General features: G+C 51.8%; 1 protein-coding gene and 1 long non-coding RNA gene across 4 annotated transcripts in view, besides 3 other annotated features; both read left to right on the forward strand.

The window, feature by feature from the left end:
• AGAP1 (ArfGAP with GTPase domain, ankyrin repeat and PH domain 1) overlaps positions 1,423-20,646 on the forward strand; it is a 637,751-nt gene continuing 618,527 nt past the window's right edge. For all 3 annotated transcript variants that reach the window (NM_001037131.3, NM_014914.5, NM_001244888.2), the window contains exon 1: positions 1,423-2,229. In NM_001037131.3, the coding sequence (NP_001032208.1) occupies positions 2,067-2,229 (163 nt within the window). In that variant the 5' untranslated portion in view covers positions 1,423-2,066. The remainder of the gene's footprint in view (positions 2,230-20,646) is intronic.
• Positions 2,677-3,550: an enhancer, noted in NCBI's record as "H3K27ac-H3K4me1 hESC enhancer chr2:236403941-236404814 (GRCh37/hg19 assembly coordinates)". NCBI's record gives its function as "activates a minimal SCP1, AML or CMV promoter by ChIP-STARR-seq in naive H9 embryonic stem cells {active_cell/tissue: H9 hESC(naive)}" and the evidence as "EXISTENCE:reporter gene assay evidence [ECO:0000049][PMID:30033119]".
• Positions 7,846-8,451: an enhancer, noted in NCBI's record as "H3K27ac-H3K4me1 hESC enhancer chr2:236409110-236409715 (GRCh37/hg19 assembly coordinates)". NCBI's record gives its function as "activates a minimal SCP1, AML or CMV promoter by ChIP-STARR-seq in naive H9 embryonic stem cells {active_cell/tissue: H9 hESC(naive)}" and the evidence as "EXISTENCE:reporter gene assay evidence [ECO:0000049][PMID:30033119]".
• Positions 12,423-12,929: an enhancer, noted in NCBI's record as "H3K27ac-H3K4me1 hESC enhancer chr2:236413687-236414193 (GRCh37/hg19 assembly coordinates)". NCBI's record gives its function as "activates a minimal SCP1, AML or CMV promoter by ChIP-STARR-seq in primed H9 embryonic stem cells {active_cell/tissue: H9 hESC(primed)}" and the evidence as "EXISTENCE:reporter gene assay evidence [ECO:0000049][PMID:30033119]".
• On the forward strand, positions 13,131-14,946 carry AGAP1-IT1 (AGAP1 intronic transcript 1). The gene is made up of 2 exons (NR_131900.1): positions 13,131-13,180; positions 14,333-14,946. It is a non-coding gene; the product is annotated as an AGAP1 intronic transcript 1 (long non-coding RNA).

Below are 20,646 nucleotides of genomic sequence, written 5' to 3' on the forward strand. Positions count from 1 at the left end.
GCGATCACAGCAAATAGCAAAGAAAAGAGGCCTAACCATAAGCCCTGGGGCCCTCCATATTTAGAGGTTAGGGGAGTAGAAGAAAACCACAAAAGGGACAGTGAAGCCAGAAACACAGCAGGAAGCCCTGGTGAGCACTGGGAGAAGGGGTTTCCAGGAGCGCAAGTGATCAGCTGCTGCTGATAGGTCAGGTTTGGTGAGGCCACATGCCTGCCTCTTGGTTACTAGAGTTACTTATGCGTGGACAGCCCGAGGCATGGAGTGATGACCTGTGCCTAAGTGTCAAGGAGAAGACAAGCAGGTCCGGAATGGTAAAAATGTCAGCACATCTTTGGGAAGTTGTGGAGCCCAGCCAGTAAGCCAACACGGCTGGATACCAGGGTGCTTAGGCCATAGCAAACTGCATGTGAGCCGGTGAAGGCTCAGCAGGCTTTAAACGGGGATGCCGGCCCGGCTGGCTGAGTTTCAGAAAGACCACGCCGATGGCTGGGGGCAGGGACTCAGCCAGTGTCCTCAATCCAGGACCTTGTGGGACCGCCCGGCAGCCAGTGCTTCCGCAAATCTGAAGGGTCCCATTTGCCTCAAAGCGGCGAGACGAGCCTTCCAAGCGCTGCTGCAGTGCGGTCCCAGCTCCGCGGGGGGTCCCCGGGGATGACCTAAATCGGGGATTGCGGTGGGACAGACGGTCCAGGGGCTAAGGAACCCCGTGGAGCAGGCAGCGGCGCTCAGGAGGCAGCAGCTTGAGATCCACGGCTCGATTTTTAAAAATTGTAAGGGAGAAGGATGCCTCGAAAGCCTCTGTGGTATTTTGTCGCATCTCGCACCCCTGTCTAAACTTCAGTCCACTCGTGGAGTGTGGACCCCCACGCCGCATGGGCTCAGGAGGCGCTTCGCCTTTGGAAAGAAATCGCATGTATTAAGGGAAAGCACGTGTGCTACTTTGAGAAAGGAGGCAGAAAGTTACCAAACGCGGGAAGGGGAGGCTCGCCAACCAAGCGAGGCCGTGGGACACTGGCGAGTCGCAGAGGCTCCTGGAGCCAGCCGCTTGGAAACAAACAACAACGCGGCGGGCGAACTCCCGGGCAGCCTCCCCCGTGCCGGGGCGCGGGGGCCGCCGCGAGAACCCGGGCAGGAGCTGGCAGGCGCGGGGCCTGGCCGGCGGGAGGGTCCCGCACCCCGGCCCAGTGTGAACACCCCGCGCACCCCCCTGGCCCGGCCCGCCGGGGGCGCGGACTACAAGTCCCAGGAAGCCCAGAGGCAGGCGCGGGGCGGGGCCTGGCGCAATTCCCCGGGATCCGGCGCGCTGGGAAGCGCCGAGGAGGACGCAGCGCCGGCGGCCGGAGGGCGGCAAGCGCGCGGGCAGGCGGGGCGCGGGCGCGGGCGCGGGCGAGGGCGAAGGCGGGGGCGGGGCCGACGTGGGCCGGAGCCCTGCGTGCCAGGGAGGGGGCCGGCCGGGCAGGCGGCGGGCGGCGCTCGGAGCGGGCTCCGCGGCTTGCAAGGCGCCTGCGACTCGGTCCCAGGTCGGCGGGCGGCGCACGGCGGGCTCGCGCGGGGGCCCCGGCGCGCCGGGCGGCGCAGTACGCAGCGCGCGGACCCACGCCACGGCCAGGAGCCCAGAGCAGCGCGGCCACACTGCCCAGGGGTCGGCCCTCGGCCCCGGCGCTCGGAGCGCGGCGGCTGCCTGGGCTTTAATGGCTGCTCCGCGGAGCAGCGCCTAGGGCTGGAAGGCGGCTGCGGCTCAGGAAGTCACCCGAGCAAGCCTCCTTCGGGGCCGGCCGCACCCGCCGCGGCGCGCTCCATGGGGGCGCGCTCCCCCCGGGCGGCCCGCTGACCCGGGACGCCGGGGCCCGCTCGCTCGCCGGCCGCGCGTCCCGGCCATGAACTGAGCCCGCGGGCCAGCCCCGCGCCTGCTCCGCCCGCGCCTTTCTTCTCGCGCCTCCTCCGCCCGCCGCCGGCGGGCCCGGCTCCCCGGGGGCTGCGGCGCCCCGGGCTCGGCGGCCCGCGGGCCCCGGGGCGCGGGGCGGCGGCGGCGGGGGGCGCGCGGCTCCGGGCGCGGCGCCTGCACCATGAACTACCAGCAGCAGCTGGCCAACTCGGCTGCCATCCGGGCCGAGATCCAGCGCTTCGAGTCGGTCCACCCCAACATCTACTCCATCTACGAGCTGCTGGAGCGCGTGGAGGAGCCGGTGCTGCAGAACCAGATCCGGGAGCACGTCATCGCCATCGAAGGTGAGGGCCGGGCCGCCTTGGGGCCTCGGGAAGGCACGGACGCCCGCGGCGCGGCGGGGGTGTGCGCTGTGTGCGTGCGGGTGTCCACACACGCCGGCCGGGGCACGCGGCTGCTCCGCCGAGGGAGCACTGCGGCGCTGCTTGTCTTGCAAGGCCGGGCGAGCGTCGCCTGCGCCCCGCCGCGCCGCGAGCTCCGCCAGGAAGATAGATCGTCAGCGTTAATTTGATCGTGGACAATAGAGTCTCTCCTGCGGGAAAGTGGCTCGGTGCCTCCGCGTCCTGGGCTGCCGGAGCGTCCCGGCCCAGCAGACGCCTGGGGGCAGCCGGCGGGGTCGGCGCCACCCGACCCCTGACAGGTTACCAGGCCAGGCCTGGGCGTCTTGCTGGACGTTGAAGACGTGTTCTGAGAAGTGCTGCCGCTGGGGGCGAGGCCCGGGCCGGCGTGTTTGGGCGGTGCAGGGCTGCCCTCCTTAGTGTGTTTGCTTAATTCAGGGGTGCAGTTGAACTTAGTGGATGCCGAGAGCCAGCCCTAGCCGCGGGAGCATCGTGTCCAGGTGCCCCTGTGCAAACGCTGGAACCGGTAGTGTGCTTTGTACCAACCAAAAGTCCGGGGTTGGATTAGAGGAAGAACCCTACCAGGAGGGCAGGGCGTCCTCCAGCGGAAGGGTCTCGCTTTCATATGTCTGCAGTTGGAGGCCACTGAAGTGGAGGGTGCTGTGGTTTTAAGAGGGGCAGGATGCTTGGGCAGAATCCCCACCCGCTTCCCTCTGCATGTCAGGCAGGGCCATGGCCTTCCAGGAGAGCTACAGCAGCAGTCTGCCTTCCGGGGCTGTGCCCTCTGGATTTCTGGTGGCTCTCATTTCTCTGTTTCCAGGCTGCTGATTTATTTTCTTGCTTCATCCCTTTGGTCCGGCCAAGACTCACCTGGGGCACCAGGTGGCATGTGCGTGGACAGTGTGGAGTCATATCTTAGCCACAGTTGATCAGCACTTTCTCCCTTCTCAGCGCTGTTGGCCAGTGATGGTAAAAAGCCTGCAGAGTGGCTTGTCCATAATACAGACTGGCCGGTAAGACCTCTATTGAGGAACATTGAGAATGGCCCAAAGCCGGCAGGAATGTGCCTGAAAGCCTGGTGCTGGCGTTGCCCAGCCTCCTCCCTCTGTGAGGGAGAGGGTATCAGCCCACAGAGAGGCTTTGCCTTGGCACTATGTAGTCTGAACTACTAACCCCGAAGTGCTTTGGTTTGAAACTTGGCCAGTTAGGTGGAGAAAGTGGATGTTGTGTTGCTGAGCCCTTGGCATTTGGCAGCCCTGTAGACTTGAACCATGTCCCAGCCAGGCTGGATGACTGGCAGACTATACCCTTGGGGGACTTGTTAATTCCAGGGGAGGATCCGGGTGGAGCTCCAGCCTTATGGGGTCCTAGCCCTTTGTGTGTATCTGTCTCCCATGAGGTCACCTGGCTGCCTTGTTGGTGACTTAAGATGCTCTGTGGATTCCTCAAGAGATGGGCTCTGTCTGCCTCTGCATGACTCGTGATGAGTGGCGGTGGGACCTGGACCCATCTGCTGATGATCAGGTGGTGTTGCAGCAAGGTTCCTCCAGAGCTCCAGCTCTGCGTCTGTTACGGGAGCTGTGAAGGCTGCACGGTGCTCATTTCAGATGGTTCTTCCTGGCTCTCTGGCTGCATCCACAGAAGTCTGATGAAACACTGTGAAAGCCGGCGTCAGGTATTGAAGGCACCTGGCTGAGAGCCTCTTTTGCTGCATGAAGACCTCTGGCTGAGTGGGGTTCACAACACCTCGTTTTTATTTCCCATTCTTGAAGCTGAGCTCTGGGGCTCAAGCACTTCCAGCAAAGCAGTTTGACTTTCTAGCAAGAGGATGTGGTTGCATTTTCCTTTCTCCCTTAAAAGAAAAAAAAAATGCGTCGTTCCTAGATGATGGTTTTTTTTGACAGCACGATGCCTACCTTTGCGATTTGAGATTTTAGGCCCCTTCTTGGCCGGGATCCTTGTCATTTTTAATAAGGCTTAGAATCATTGGGTGAATCCTGTTTGGGACTGGGGTGATGCTGTTATTTTTCTCTTAGAAATAGGGATGTCTACATTATGTGGAGCTGTAGTTAATTTAGTGAGGCTTAAGAACCACTCAGACATGCTGCTGTTCTTTGCATGTTCTTCTGTTATCAATAATGATACCACTTTTCATTTCTGTAGAACTTTAACAGAAATATTTTTGCATGTATAGTCTCATTGTGTGGCTTCACCAACCCTGTGAGGGTGGGTGGGTAGCTTCCTCATCCTCATTTTATGGAGGAGCGGGTGGAGGTTCAGGGAGGGATAATGACCTCCTTAACATTTGACTGAGGTGGTTTGAAGTCTGATCTGAACCAAGGGATCATTTGAATGGAGTTTCTGTCTCCACACTGCATGTGGATGGCAGGAACCCAGTGCTGGCAACTAAGCCTGCGCTGGAACATCACAGTAACTGCAGAGGGCTCCCTGCAGGGGCAGAGAGCTGCCCCTGCCTGTGCGTGCACCTTGGAGGTTTTAAAGTCTAACTGTTTCCAATCAGGACAGCAGGTGCACATCATAACAAATGGCTCAAAAAGTCACTTGTCCCACCAAATAGAAAGCTGGCCACATTTTAGAAGATTTCCAGCTAGGGATTTTTTCCCCTTCCTCTGTATGTGCATACACAGAATTGGGGTCTGACTTCCCAAGCTTCTGGACTACCGTGATGTGGGCACTTCTTTTTTTGTTTTGAGACGGAGTCTCGCTCTGTCGCCCAGGCTGGAGTGCAGCGGCGCAATCTCGGCTCACTGCAGGCTCCGCCCCGGGTTCACGCCATTCTCCTGCCTCAGCCTCCCGAGTAGCTGGGACTACAGGCGCCCACCACCTCGCCTGGCTAATTTTTTCTGTTTTTTTAGTAGAGACGGGGTTTCATTGTGTTAGCCGGTATGGTCTCCGTCTCCTAACCTCGTGATCCACCCACCTTGGCCTCCCAAAGTGCTGGGATTACAGGTGTGAGCCACCGTGCCCGGCCGGGCACTTCTTAACGTTATGAAGAGCTTTTGAAGATAGGGTTTCTCTTGTTGGCACAAAATTCCCACATTTGGCTGCACCCTACTCAAAACTTCACTGTTTTCTGGCATCTTCAGGAATTTTTGCTGTTGGAGTGAGGTGCAGCCTTGTCCAGGGGAAGGATGTTTTGGCTAATGCTTATTTCAGAGCGCGTGGAGGTGGGTCTGGGTTGTAAAATCTCTTAACGATGGACTAAACATATTTTAGTTGAAAGGCCCACCAAGGCTCCCAAATAAAAACACATCCGTAATCCTGTTTGTAGGCATGGGATACAGGTGATTTTGCCCTCAGTCTTGTTTTAAAACACTAGCTTGTCAGAAGAGAACAGTTTTTTTCCCCCAATTTTTGTTTTGTACATTGAGAGGTTTATTCCCCCCTCCCTTCACCCCCAAATCACTAGAGTTTAAGGAAGCATTGCTGATTGTTCCAGATTTATCTGATCAGGTTTCTGGGATGTCCTATGGGGCATGGCATGCTGTGAAATGTAGCCACACAGCTGTGTCGTCTCTGGAGCCTCCGCAGCCACCATGCCCAGAAATGAGCCTGAGAGCCATCTCGCCTCCAGTCTGAACAGCGTGTGTTAGTTTCCCCTCTGGTTCTCCTTAGAAAAGTCCATCGGGGGTTGATGGCATTGAGGTAGATGAATTAACTGCCTTTCTTGTTCAATAAAGCTTGTTCTTCTTTCAAGGATAAAGCCTCTCTTAGCAGTCACACATCGTAATTCAGCTTGCCAGCAGCAGGACCGTGATGTGAGTGATAGCCCAGCCAGCTCATTCAGCCAGGCGGCCCGATTCCCAGGTTCCCACGCATCGCCGGGAAGGTTGGCCTTCCTCTGAGGTTGAGCCCTCATCCAGCCCACAAGCCTCCATCCCCACCAGGTGGCCGATGAGAGGAAACCCAGGCTCTCCACTGGCCTGGCACTTGGCAGGAGAACCCTGCCCTGCACTTCTTAAGGGCATTTCCACAGGGAGATTCCAGGACCCCTTAGTAGTATCTCAGCCCCAGTGTTTGGGGGACCTGGGAAGATGGGTCAGGGTTCCCCACTTTGTCCCATGATACAGCTGCTCTGTTGAGCATGTGTGTCCCACAGAGTGCGGAGTGTCTGAGGTGCATCATCTCAGTTCGTCCTGCAGCGATCTTGTACACAGACGCACTGCTGAGGCCAGAAAGCTTAGGACACTTGTGCGAGAGCGGTGAGCTGGGCCCGTCCGACCTCACCTCTGGCCCTCTGTCGCCGTGTGAGATTGCGGAGCCCCTGTTATTCATACTTCCCATAGGCCGTGTGTGCAAAGCATCCCAAGCTTGTTTCCGCCACCCAAGGCAAGAGGGTTTGAGAAGGCCCCAAAGAACCTAAAGTATTCTGTTCTCTGTAAAGCAGCTGACTGTGGCAAAACTTCCAGAAGCATTTGTTTTCATGTGGAAATGTATTTAGTCCGGTTGATGCAGGTGTGCATGTTTAGGGAAACAAACATTTTCTTCCTGCTGTGGATAAGTGTCATGTTTCTTTGTCACCATTGGCCATGTTCATAATCCTTCAAGTTGAATGAAAGGTGGCAGGTTTGCAGTCCCCTCCTTAAAAATAACACTCAGTTGGCTTTTAGTTGCTTCCAGGTGAGCTCTCGTACCTTGCCGGCACCCGGGACCTCCACAATGCGGGCGTTCCTTGTGAGTCCAGCTTACTCATGCTTCTCAGTTGTGGTGCAGGTGCTCTTTGAGATGCCGCCTTCTCTGCCTGTTGCTCACCCTGCGAGGCTCGGTCTCTGTTGGTGTCACTCATGACCAGCCTTGCCTCGCCAGAATTAAGGCCCTCCTGGTCTCTGCCCACCGTGTTTGGCTCATCTACTTAATCAGCTGGGAGGTCTGGAAGCTGGTTGAGGGCAGAAATCAGGGCTTGTTTATTGCTGTATCCTCAGTGGTTTGATAGATCACGTCTGGCCCTTGAAGGATGCCCAGGGGTTTGTTGGCTGGCTGACTTGCCAGAGGGTCCTTTCCAAAGCTCCTTCTTGGTAGGATAAACAATGTTTATACGCTGCAGAAGTGAGGACAATTTGAAACGTCCCCAGAGCACAGAAGTTAGGGTTAGACACCTTTTGGATTTGGTGGGCTGGCTTGGTGGGAACTCAGTGTCATGTGGTGTTTGGGATGGAAGTGAAATTTTCTTTACTGTAGGTAGGGGAAGCAAAAGATTTGCTTGCTAAATCTTGGCAGCTTTTTCAGATCAGCTGTCTACAACAGGTTGGTGTTTATGTTGGGTGTAAGTGAATTTCAGACATAGAATCAATATTAAGAGGACAAATGGGTGACAGCCTGTGTCACTGCCATGATATAGTATCTTTGGCGTCACACCGAGAGCAAACGTGAGTGTGTGTCAGGTCACATTGAGGGCTGATGGAAACAGATTGCCGGCCCCTCCCATACCTCCCGAGTTTCTAGTTCTGTGGGTTTGGAGCAGGACGCACGAATGTGCCTCTCTAAGAAGTGTCCTGAGGATGCGGATGCCCTGGTCCAGGGACCGCACTTCTGGAAGCATAGCTGTAAAGGAAAGGCAGCTCCAGTTGACTTGGTATCATCTCTGGGCCGTTGTTTCTTCTTCCTTGCTGTGCTTGTAGCCAGCTGAGAAGGTTTCCTATCAGCCTGCCCTGCAGGTTTCAGGTGAAGACACCTAAGGCCAGCTGCTCAGGGAGTTGCTTGTGGTCACGCAGGCTAAGTGTGGTGGACGAGGGACTTAAACCAGATCTGAATGGTTTCAAGCTGGTGTTCATGTGATCTTCATGATGCTGTTTGAAAAGCAGCTGAATGCTGGGTGAGGGGCCTGTCGTGCCAGACCCCTTTAAATTTCATTAGGGATGGCACCGGGTTCAAGAGACTGGAGAGGAGACCTAGAGCCAGCAAACAAAAGACAGAGGGTTTATTAGGGGAATTTATTTACAGAGTGGTCCCATGGCGGCCTGGGCAGGAGAAGCGCTGCTGCTTGCTTTCAGAAAGCGTGCAGTTTATATAGCATTTTCGCTTAACACCCTCCCCCAAACAACCACCACCCAGCAACCTTAACACCAATCAAAGAGCCTCAATACCCTGTATGGCCTGCTTTCCATGGGACAGGCTGGGGGTTTAGATGTTCCTCATAGATAAGGAATGAATCTCTGGGTTGGCCACTCCCGGATTCCTTAGCTCAGAACCCCGAACATACATTCAGGTGCACCTGCCATGTGGGGCCATTCTCAGTTATTGCTGTCAGGGGCATCTGTCAGTGGGCTGCGTTTCTGCGACACGGTGGCATGTCGGATGGACATTGCCAAGAGAATCTGGTTAGGAGGTAGAGGCAGCTGATGTCCATTTCCTTCTAGACTCATTCTGTGGTTTTGCGGATTTTCCTTCTTGTCTTTCGGAGATTGTTGCTTTTTAATGTAGTCTTATGTATATTTAGATTGGGTTCTTCAGTATTCACTTATTATATGATAATTTGGCAGATGACACATTTTGTTACCAATATTTCCAAGCTGAAAGCGCGTTTCTGTAAAAGACAGGAGCTAGATGTTACTAGTAGCTTAAAAGAGCTGTTGGAGGAGCCTGAAGGAAGTGACTCATAAGGGAGAGAAGCAGTGGGGGCAGCTGCAGGAACCTTCAAAACAAAACCTGCAGCCCTGTTGCTACCACCTCTTGTTTTTTGCCTAAACCAGGCGTTTTATTTTGTTAAGACGAAAATCCCTTATTTTGCATCCGTTTTTCCCCCTGTATACCCTGCAGGTGTTTATAGTTTGTGAGTCTCACTCTGGCTTGTTTTAACCACTGATTTCGTTTCGTCTTATGTTTCTCTACACTCTAGCAAACCTGTGTCCCCCTCCCCGCCCCCATCCCAATCCTCCAGCCTTCACGTCCTTAGCTTAAGTGATTGAGTCTGGCAAAGCGGATGAGGCTTAGCTATTTTTAAAATCCAGGGTTTGAGGTTCTGATCTGGTGCTTAGCTACATAATTCCTTCCCTTTGTTAAGTACCTTTCTCCGAGAAACAAAATGCACTCTACAGATGTTAATCTCTAATCTTTGCAGCATCTGTTATTTTTATTCAGGGGTACAAGTGCTTTGTGTGTGCTGCGGTGAGCCCTGGCCTTCTGGAAGCTCTGTGCTTCTGAGGGGCTGAGGGGGATTTGGGGGTCCCTTTTCATAGTGTGGGCTGTCTTTCCCAAGATGCAGTGATGACCCATCAGAGGCAGGGTTGGTATTGTCCGTGGGGTCCAGTCCCTCTATCTTCCAGGGCTTTTCTGGTCACAAGAGACCATGGCCAGAAGTGGGTATCGTGCTTGTGTCTGGGGCCTGGGGAGGGAAGGAAAACAAATACCACCCCCTGCAGAAGAGATCGTTAATGGATTCTTTGAGTAACCAGCCAGATAGCTTGTTTGTGTGCGAGGTTGGGACATTTTCCGTAAAGAGCAGACTAAATATAGGCTCGAGGGTGGGGACCAGGGCCCGAGAGGGGGCTGCCACTGCTTGCTCCAGTATTGTTTCTTCCATTGGTAACCAGAACTTGCCACCAGTCCCAAACAGGTGGCCACCCTGAGCTCTCTGGGAACAGATTGGTGTTTTTGTTTAACCAGGGGCTCATTTGCAAATTTCACACTTCTCCCGCTGTTTGATGGGGATTGTCTTTTTTTGGGCTGCAGTGTTGGAGTATTTGTACAGTGTTTCTACACAAGCAACTGTCTAATCTTTAAAACTGCTCATGCCGTCTGGTTGTCATTAGCATCATGGTTAGAAGCTTTTTATTTGCCTTTTTTTTTTTTTTTTTTTTTAAGGGTGGGAAAACACTTTTCATGGTTCTGGGAGAAGAATTTCAAATAATGTCCATGTTCACAAATGATTTATGTTTGGTCTTGGAGAAATGTCAGCATTCAACAGGCTCTAGTAAATACAACCATGTTGATTTCCAGCTTAGGACGAAGCTACTGTTACCCTGTTCTCACTCAGATAATAGTCTGAAAGGCAGAACCGTACCTTTAGAAAGTACATTTAGCTTCAATTCAATAAGTTTTAGTTTTAGCCAATAGTGACTTGTAGTATGGAGGATACTTGAAAGAAAGAAGTTAAACATTTTTTAAAAAATTTATGAACACCTGCAACAAATAGCCACAAGACCTACCCTTTTTTCAGGAAAGAGTTTTCACTTCTTAAATGTCACCTTGGGGGCATGCCCACTGTGTGATGGTACCCTTCAGCAGGATTGGTATTGTCGGAAGTGCTGGCTAGCTTATGTAATGAAAAAGAAATTGATTTGGAAAGAGCTGATTGCCCTGAATTTCCATCCTGTTTGTGCGTTGAGCTGCCCTTTTCAGTGGGGGAGAATCCAGCATATTTTCCAGGGAGGGCGTTTCCGGAAGCCTGTCTGCACCCCCTTTGTTGTTGTTTTCGAAGGTCTGGGGTGCTGCTGTGAGCCGGGATCGCGTATCTGCTCCTGTTCTGACGAGACTGCTCCTGCTGGAAGTTCAGCCTGGTGAACCTGATTTGGGAGGGGATGGTGTGATTGGCGGGGAACAGCATTGTGTTAATTTTAGCTTCAACAATCAAGCCTGGGTCTCTGAGTGTCCATGTAGTACTTGAAGTTTGGGTTTGGAATTGGTGGGATTGAGACCACTTCAAACTCTTTTATTTCTTGGAACTTGTTAGTATTTATTTATTTATTTTTTGAGACAGGGTCTCACTCTGTTGCTTAGGCTGAAGTGCAGTGGCACTATTGGGGCTCATTTGTAGCCTCAACCTCCCAGACTCAAGTAATCCTCCCACCTCAGCCCCCGCCAAGTAGCTGGGACTCCAGATGTGCACCATGCCTGGCTAATTCATTGGATTTTCAGTAGAGACGGGGTTTCACCATGTTGCCTGGGCTGGTCTTGACATTCTGGACTCAAGCAATCCACCTGCCTCAGCCTCCCAGAGTGCTGGGATTACAGGCATGAGCCACTGTGCCTGGCCTAGTTTTTAATTTTTGAGACAGTCTCTGTCAATCAGGCTGAAGTACAGTGGCACGATCGTGGCTCACTGAAGCCTTGCTTTCCTGAAGCGATCCTCCTGCCTTGGCCTCCCAAATAGCTGGGACCACAGGCACGCACCACCATGCCCGACTAATTTTTTAATTTTTTTTGTAGAGATGGGGTCTCGCTATGTTGCCTTGGCCTCCCTAAGTCTTAGGTTTACAGGCTTGAGCCACCACGCCCAGCCTCGAACTCTCTTTTTTTTTTGACACATAACAGAGAAAGGTGCCCAAGTCATAAAGGAGAAAGTTTTCACAAACTGATCACATGTGGGACCAGCATCCAGTTCAGTGGCCAGCACAGACTCATCTGTCGTGAGGGTCGTTAGAAATTGTAGCCCCCATTTATTGGTCTCTTCTGCCTGTGATATGTGCTTGAGTGGTTGCCTGTTTCGGGGGCTGTCAGTGTTTGAGTGGCTGCCTGTTTCGGGGGCTGTCAGTGTTTGAGTGGCTGCCTGTTTCGGGGGCTGTCAGTGTTTGAGTGGCTGCCTGTTTCGGGGGCTGTCAGTGTGTGAGTGGTTGCCTGTTTCGGGGGCTGTCAGTGTTTGAGTGGCTGCCTGTTTCGGGGGCTGTCAGTGTTTGAGTGGCTGCCTGTTTTGGGGCTGTCATGAATAGCACCACTGTGCAGATTCTCACTTGCCTTTTGGTGCCCATATGGCCTCATTTCTGTCGGGTGTGTGCTGGGCTGTGTCTTTCTCTCTGTGGGTTGGACGTAGCTGCTCGTGAAGCCGCTCCTGCAGCCCAGCAGCCCCTATCTGGGAAACCTTTCAGTGCTTTCAAGGTTCATTTTATGACACTCAGGATGGCCGTTTGTCTCCTTTTGCTGATTTTCATTCTTTCAGTTGTTTGTTCATAAACAAATGTTTGCATGGCTAATGCATTTCCAGCACTTAGAGATTAGGTTTTTAAACTTTTGGATTGTCTGCAGGCTATTAATTCCTTGTTAGTTGAATAATGACGGCTGTGTGCATGGAGCTGTGTGAGCGAAATCCCTCACCAGGAAGAGGGCGCAGTTCCTCTGGGACTGGAACAGGGGCCCCTTTGGCTCTCCTTGGCTCCTGGCAGAAGTCAGTTGTCAACTGGGGGACTCTTTCTGGCTGAGCCCCAAGCAGCCTCAATCCATCCCTGTGCTGGGTTTTAGATAACCCACTGGATCTGTGTTGGTCTTTGAAAGGGAATTCACTCTGTATGTTTGGCCTAAACTGTGTTATGGCCTTCATAGTTACGTATTAGCATTATTCAGTTTTTGTTGTTTGTAGCAATTATGCTGAAGACACAAAAGAAGAAAAAAAGCTAAGTGTTGCCAACTCAAGGAGTAATTTTCTTTGTTCCAGCGCTGTGTCCTGGGAGCTGCCCATCCCCCTCCACAAAGGCCAGTGCTAAACAAGGCCAGAGCCAGGAAGGACACGCGGGGCCATGGATTGAGTGAGGGCAGTGTGTGCGTGTGTGGATTTCTCTGGTGGCTTTGCAATGGCAAATATTTATTTTGAGGGATGGTGGTGGGAGGACCAAGTTTATACTCACTTTGTTTAGTAGGGGAAGTGGCTAATGTGAGAATCAATAGACAAGATTTTATCAAGCCTCTGCACTGGGCAGAGCGCAGTTTTTGAAGCTGGGAGAACAGGCAGATGTGTGGGACACTCAGGGCCCTTCAGATCTCCCCCAGGAGCCACTGATACAGGTAGAGATCGCAGCCACACAAGGCTGTGTGGGAGGGGCCTGGGAGATGGGGCGGAGTCCAGGGAGAGATCCTGGAAGCCAGGTAGCAGTCAGGAGGGCTTTCCAGGCTAGTGGGTACTAGGATTGGAGCATCCAGAACAGAGTCACTTCAGCCTGGGAAGAGCGGGGTAGGCGGCCGAATGATAAGTGATCCTTGACAGCCCCCGAGAGCAGGCTGGGAGACCTTTTGTTGGACGGTCTACTACTGATTATGGATCCTGCTTGGAGAGGGGAGTGCTTTTTTTAAAATTCTTTTCTTTTTTTTTTTTTTTTTTTAAGACGGAATCTTGCTCTGTCGCCCAGGCTGGAGTGCAGTGGTGTGATCTCAGCTCACTGCAGCCTTTGCCTCCCAGGTTCAAGTGATTCGCCTGCCTCAGCCTCCTGAGTAGCGGGGACTACAGGCATGCACCACCACACCCAACTAATTTTTATGTTTTTAGTAGAGATAGGGTTTCACCACGTTGGCCAGGCCGGTCTCAAACTCCTGACCTCAGGTGATCTACCCGCCTTGGCCTCCCAAAGTGCTGGGATTACAGGCATGAGCCACTGTGCCCGGCCCTGTTTTATTTATTTATTTATTTAGCTCGGGTTTCAATATTTTAAAAAATTTGAAGCCAGGTGCGGTGGCTAATGCTTGTAATCTCAGCGCTTCGGGAGGCCGAAGTGGGAGGATTGCTTGAGGCCAGGAGTTTGAGACCAGCCTAGGCACAGTGGCAAGTGCCTTTAGTCCTAGCTACTTGAGTGGCTGAGGCAGGAGGATCACTTGAGCCAAGGAGTTGCAGGCTGCAGTGAGCTATGATTGCATCACTGCGCTCCACCCTGGGTGCCAGAGTGAGATCTTGTCTCAAAAAAAAAAAAAATTGAACTGTGATGACTATGATATTGTCTTTTGGGGGGTTTTCTGGACATAAAATTCAGAATTTTACATAGAAACTTGAATTTATTTGTCCAAGAGTTTCTTGTTTTGAAAATAGGATGCCACTGGGAACATTCTTGGTTAGGAGCCACCGGAAGCCGGGTCTGTATGGGCAGGGCCAGTGAGATGCAAAGCCACACACGAAAGCTAAGCACACACTCTTGTTTTCCTCACTCACATCCATGTTCATCCTCTTTCCTGTGCTGACGGTTTGCAAAGCTGGGAGAGAATGAGGGCGGGGCCTCGGGAAGTGAATGGCAGAGCAGGTGGCATAGACACCTCAGCCGTCTGCCCACAGGGTATGGGCAAGGTTTGTTTTGGTGACTTTTTCTTCCAGTCTTGTGTACATTATCGTCTCTCACAGGACTTGAGCTTGGAGGGAGCTGGAGTGGCCGCTTGCTGAGTCTTTCTCCCTGGAGCTCGTGGGCAGCTGGTTACCTCGCGCTGGGGCGACCCTGACTTAGGACCTCCTGCCGTTTCTCTGGGTGACTGCTCTGTAGTCGTGAGTCGTCTCTTTAATGCTGAGCATCAGTACCTGCACAGCCCTGAATGGAGCAGCTGCCCAGAATCTGTCTTGTCATCGATAGATGGACAGTTGCCGAGTGTCCTGCGTGCCGACTGACTAAGGAGTTTTTGTCTCTGTCACCCTGTCCCCTGTGGTTTTATGAAGACGTTAGTTATGAATCCGTGTTTAGGATGAGAAGATGTAAACAGTGAGGAGGATAAGTGAGAAGCTAGCAAGAGTCTGGATGGTGATGGCGGGGGAGCGCTGGTGGAGGAGTCGGGGGCGTCCCGCTGGACTGGGGCACAGCTCTGCAGCAGCAGCCGGTGCGGTTTTGCCTTGTAAGTGACACCGTTGCCTGCAGGCATCTCTGACAGCTGCTCCTGCTCCAGATTCCAGAAATTTCTATGGAACATTTCCTGAACCATCCTCCTGGTTTCTTCCCTTCCCCTCACTGAATAAAATCCGTAATAGCACCTGCCGCTTGAGTGTTTGTCTCTGCAGGACGCCGTGTTCAGGGCTGGGTGCCCTTTGTGTCATTTTGTTATCCTGGTCACTGCCAGACAGAGGTGGTAGGACCCTCATTTGTCAGGTCAGGAGCCTGCAGCCTGGAGAGTTTAAAGCCTTGCCTGAATCCACCCACTTCTGAAGGTGGCAGAGTCAGGATTCGAACTCGGGACCCGTGGACACCAGCCACCTATGGGCCTTTATTTTTATATTTTTAAAAACTTTTAGTTTCAGGGGTACACATGCAGGTGTGTTATATAGGTAAGTTGGGTGTCATGGTGGTCTGGTGTACAGATTATTACAACGCATAGTAAGTACAGTACCTGATAGGTAGTTTTTCAGTCCTTTCCCTCCCACCCTCCACCCTCAAGCAGGCCTTGGTGGCCGTTGTTCCATTCTTTGTGTCAATGTTGAGCTCAAGTGAGACCATGAGATATTTGGTTTTCTGTTCCTCCGCTGGTTCGCTTATGATATTGGCCTCCAGCTCCATCCATTTTGCTGCACAGGGCGTGATCTCATTCTTTTTATTATGGCTGCATAGTACTCCACAGTGTACATGTACCACATTTTCTTTATTCAGCCCATCGATGGGCATTTTGGTTGATTCCATGTCTTTGCTATTGTGAATAGTGCCACAGTGAACACACAACTAACTGCGTGTGTCTTTATATAGACACAATAGAACAATTATATTCCTTCAGGTGTGTACCAAGTAATGCCACCTACAGTTTTGATGTTTTAGTAAAGTAGAAAAGGAAACTTCAGAAATCAGCCCATAAGTCTGCAGAAGTACTTGGGGAATTCTCTCCGCAGTTCGCAGCTCTCCTGCAGATCTCGGTTTGTGATTTGAAACTCACATTCACGCTCGGTTTTTTACTCATCAAGGTTATAAAGAAAATAACAGCTGTTGGTTCACTTTTATTCCCTCGCTGAGAGTTGGTGGCGGCTGGGATGCTGACTGACGGTTTTGATTACATGAGGAGGAGGCACGGAGGCAAGCTGACTGCCTGCGATTACAGGTCCCGAAGTCCGGGAGGAGGGAGGATTTCCAAACGGCATGCCTTTGAAAATTCACCTGCGTTTAGGAAATCTGCAGCACCTTTAATCCTGGCTAGCTGAAAATACAGCTTACATTTAAGCCACACAAATTCTGTGACATTTTAATAATGGAGATGTTAGTGGGCAGTTAACTTTTTATACATGTAAATAGAAGTTACTTTCCCCCTGTGCTGTAATTAGCAAAAGAGGGAGAAAGGGATGCTCTGTGCATCAAAGCGATTTGCCCAGGGTTACACAGAGGAAGGTGGCAGAGCCGGAAGTGGCAGAATCCAGTGCACGGGCGGGATGCCGAGTGTGTCGCCAAACTCCACCACTTTAGTCGGGGGCGTGGTGGTGGCTGCGCTATCTGCTTCCCACTCACTGGCATCCTAGCCGTGTGGGGTGTGTGCTCACCTGCAGCCACCCTCACCTGCTTGAACCAGATTTACCTAGAGGGTGGTGTGAACTCATGTGATGTGAACGATTACTTATAGTTACCGTGAAAATTAATGGTGGGTTTTATAGTTGGAATGCTTTTTCTACACTTACTTGATTTTTGTCTATCTGTTTAGAGAAGTGTTTTTTCTGTTGTTGTTGTTTTTTAAACTTGAGATGGAGTCTGGCTCTGTCACCCAGGCTGGAGTGCAGTGGTGCGATCTCTGCTCACTGTAACCTCTGCCTCCCAGGTTCCTGGGTTCAAGCAATTCTCCTTCCTCAGCCTCTTGAGTAACTGGGATTACAGACATCCACAACCACGCCCGGCTAATTTTTGTATTTTTAGTAGAGACGGTTTCACCATGTTGGCCAGGCTGGTCTCGAACTCCTGACCTCAAGTGATCCACCCTCCTCAGCCTCCCAAAATGTTGGGATTACAGGTGTGAGCCACCACGCCCGGCCAGAGGTGTGGTTTACATAAAGTAAACTCCAACTCTTGAAAGTTTACCATTTGATGAGTTTTGACCCCTGTAGCTACAACTGAGGTATGGAAGGCAACCATTCCCCGACCCCAACACTTCCTCATGCCCGTTTGCAACCTGCATCACCTCTGTCCGTCTGCTTGCACCCATCTGCTGTCTGTCACTGTGGATTAGTTTGCATTTTCCAGAATAAAATAGAAATAAGATCATGCATTAAAAAGGGGGTCCCCAGCCTCTGGGCCATGGACCAGTACTGGGCCTATTAGGAACCAGGCCACACAGCAGGAGGTGAGTGACGGGCCAGCAAGTGAAGCTTCATCTGTATTTACAGCCACTCCCTTTGCCTTGTGTTACCCCCTGAGCTCCACTTCCTGTCAGATCAGCGGCGGCATTAGATTCTCATAAGCGCACAAACCCTGCTGTGAACAGCACATATGAGGGATCTAGATTTGGCGCTCCTTATGAGACTCTGATGCCTGATGATCTGTCACTGTCTCCTGTCCCCCCCAGCTGGGACCCTCTAGTTGCAGGAAAACAAGCTCAGGGCTCCCACTGATTCTACGTTATGGTGAGTTGTAGAATTTTTTTCATTATATATTACAATGCAGTAATGATAGAAATAAGGTGCACAATAAATGTAATGCATTTGAATCATCATGAAACCATCCCCCTGCCTCCCTTCAGTGGGAAAATTGTCTTCCACGAAACCGGTCCCTGATGCCAAGAAGGTTAGGGACCACTGCAGTAAAGGACCCCTTCTTTGACTGGCTTCATTCAGTCAGCATGATGATTTTTAGGGTCATTCAAGTTGTTACATATATCCATAGCTTTTTCTTTTTCATTGCTGAGTAATGTTCCATTGTATGGATTTACTACAGTGTTTTTATCCTGTGGATGGATATTGATGGAGTTGTTTCCAGTTCTTGGCTTTTACAAATAGAGGTGCTGTGAACATTCACGTGCAAGTCTTCATATGGGCACGTGCTTTCATTTCTCTTGGGTAGATACCTAGGAGTGGAGTGGCTGGGAGATGTGCTGGGTATATAATTAACTTTTATGTAAACTGCCTGCTGTTTTCCAAATTGGTTGATTTTACTCTCCCGCCGGCAGTGTGAGAGTGTCCACTTTGGGCTTAAGTTCAGCAGGCTTCTGGCAGTGATGGGATAGCAGCTGTCCTTAAGAAAGAGCATTTGCCCTCTGTGTCTCTTGGGCTGTGAAGTGTCTTGTACTGATGAGGGGGGTGGGAGGCTATAGGAGTGAGGCTGAGGAGGGAAAGGAGAAGCCTCAGAAAGAGGTGCAGACTGAAGACCACCTTAGAAGGTCGCAAAATCCAAGGGAGCAGAGCCAGTGTGCCTCTCCTTGTGACCTCTGGCCTCAGTTTCCCTGTCTGTAAATCCGGATGTTTGGCCAAGATCAGTTTTCAACAAGGTGCTGGGTGGGGGGGCGGGGGGCGGCGGTGTATGGCGTGCAAGCATTGTAGCCCCCAAGAGGACATTTGGCCATGTCTGGGGCAATTTTCGGTTTGTTACAACTTTGGGGTGTCATGGTTGTTACTGGCACGTGGCAGGTGGAGGTGAGGGATGCTGCCCAAGATCCCGCAATGCCTGGGGCAGCCCTGAGTCTTCGTCATCCCGAGACTGAGAGCCCCAGGTCAGATGAGCTCTGTGACCCCCTCAGCCTCTGATCCACACTCACCAAGGATTACTCTGGTGCACGATTCTGTTTCGGTGGGAGCTGGTGTAATTATCTAGAGGTGTGTCTACCTGTGTGCCCAGAGGGGCCCGCCCTCTCGGTGAGCAAGGACACCTGGTTCCCTGGGGTCTGAGCCAGGCCCTCAGGGAGGGGGGCAGCCAGGAGCCGCAGGGGGCTCAGCCAGCTCCTGGCCCTCAAGTGTTCTAGGAAACCGGCTTCTCTGTGGGGATGTGACTCTCCCTCACTCCTCCCATTGCCTGAGTAGGCAAATTCCACCTAGCTCTTTATGACTAACTGCCTGGCAGCCTGAGCTCAGGGCAGTTCCTAACGAACTTCTTTGATTATTAACCTATGCTGGGCCCAGGGAAATTACTCACTTGTTTTCTGGCCAAGAGAAAATCTCCTGGAAACTTCTATATATAAATCTTTTTGACAATTCCGCATTCAAGAGAGTTCCCCTGGCAGTTCTTCTATTTGTAGGGTGGGGAGAAAAACCCATGTAATTTCCCCAAACTGTGGATTTTGTTCCTATAGAACATGCTTGTGAGATTCAGTGTGCGTATTTGTGTGAGTGTGTGTGAATGTGTGTGTGAATGTATGAGTGTGGATGTGTGTGAATGTGTGTGTGTATGTGAATGTGTGTGAATGTGAGTGTGAATGAGTATGTGGATGTGTGTGAATGTGTGAATGTGTATGTGTGGGTGTGAATGTGTGTGTAAAGGTGATTGTGAGTGTGTGAATGCGTGTGTGAATGCGTGTGTGACTGTGTGAATGTGTGAGGTGTGAATGTGTGTGAATGGATGTGTGTGTGAATGCGTATGTGTGAATGTGAATGCGTGTGTGAATGTGTGTGTGTGTGAATGTGTGTGTGTGTGGTGATGGTCATTGTCCACATTGGTGGTCTTGTCACTCACTTCTTGATCTGTTGCTGCATCAGCAGAATGCTGGGCAGATGGCTGCATCTTGTTTGGGAGTTTGGGAGTTTTCTTTGAGTATCTGTTTTTTAACTTTCAGGGGAGAATACCAAGGTTGGGAAACACTGGTTTTGCTGACATAAGAATAAGAAAATTGGCCAGGTGCATTGGCTCACACCTGTGATCCCAACACTTTGGGAGACCGAAGTGGGAGGATTGCTTGAAGCTAGGAGTTCAAGACCAGCCTGGGTAACATAGGGAGACCCCCATCTCTACGAAAAAACAAAACACCCAGGTGTGTTGGTGCTGCCTATGGTCCCAGCTGCTCAGGAGGCTGAGGTGAGAGGATTGCTTGAGCCTAGGAGGTTGAGGCTGCAGTGAGCCATGATTGCACCACTACCCTCCAACCTGGGCAACAGAGTGAGACCCTATCATTAAAAATCAGTCAATCAATCAATCAGTCAATCCATGCGCGTCCTCCCCCATTCCTGCCTTGATTTCCCTGTTAGGATTTGCCATGGGGTGGGCAGCTGGGCAAAGGCATCTGAGCTGGAGGTAGGTGATAAGCTCCCTGGGCCTCCCACCCTGCCTGCCTCTGCTCAGTGGCTCCTGGGTCCCTCCTGACCATGTAACCTTTGCGCCAGCCAGAGAATCTGCCCTTTGCCTTCCTCTCCAGGAAGTTGTTGAGATACATGAGTGAAAATATTATTCTTTTAAGTGCTTTGGATGTTATAAAAAATACACTGTGCCATTAATGCTCGTGCAGGGCTCCCGGCCGGCCTAGGCCCTCTGCACTTGAGATTCCTCTGGCAGCATCTGTTTAGAACTGGGCACTCCTGGTTCTGGTCAAGTTTATCCTGACCAGTTCATTTCATGGCAGTTCTGGTCATTTTTGAGAAAATCTAGTTTGCACTTTCATTGGGCCCCTTTGTGTTTTCTAGTTCAGATGTGGCTTCTCTAGCTTTTTCTTGCTGCTAAATGGTCTTAAAGGTTTGAGATCAGTGTCTCAGACTTTAGCCTGCGTCAGGATCACCTCAGGTCACGTTTTAACTGAGGGTGGGTTAAAATGCAGATCACTGTGCCGGGCGCGGGTGGCTCATGCCTGTAA

The sequence above is a fragment of the Homo sapiens genome, chromosome 2 (genome assembly GCF_000001405.40).
Source record: "Homo sapiens chromosome 2, GRCh38.p14 Primary Assembly".
NCBI classification, from domain to species: Eukaryota; Metazoa; Chordata; class Mammalia; order Primates; family Hominidae; genus Homo; species Homo sapiens.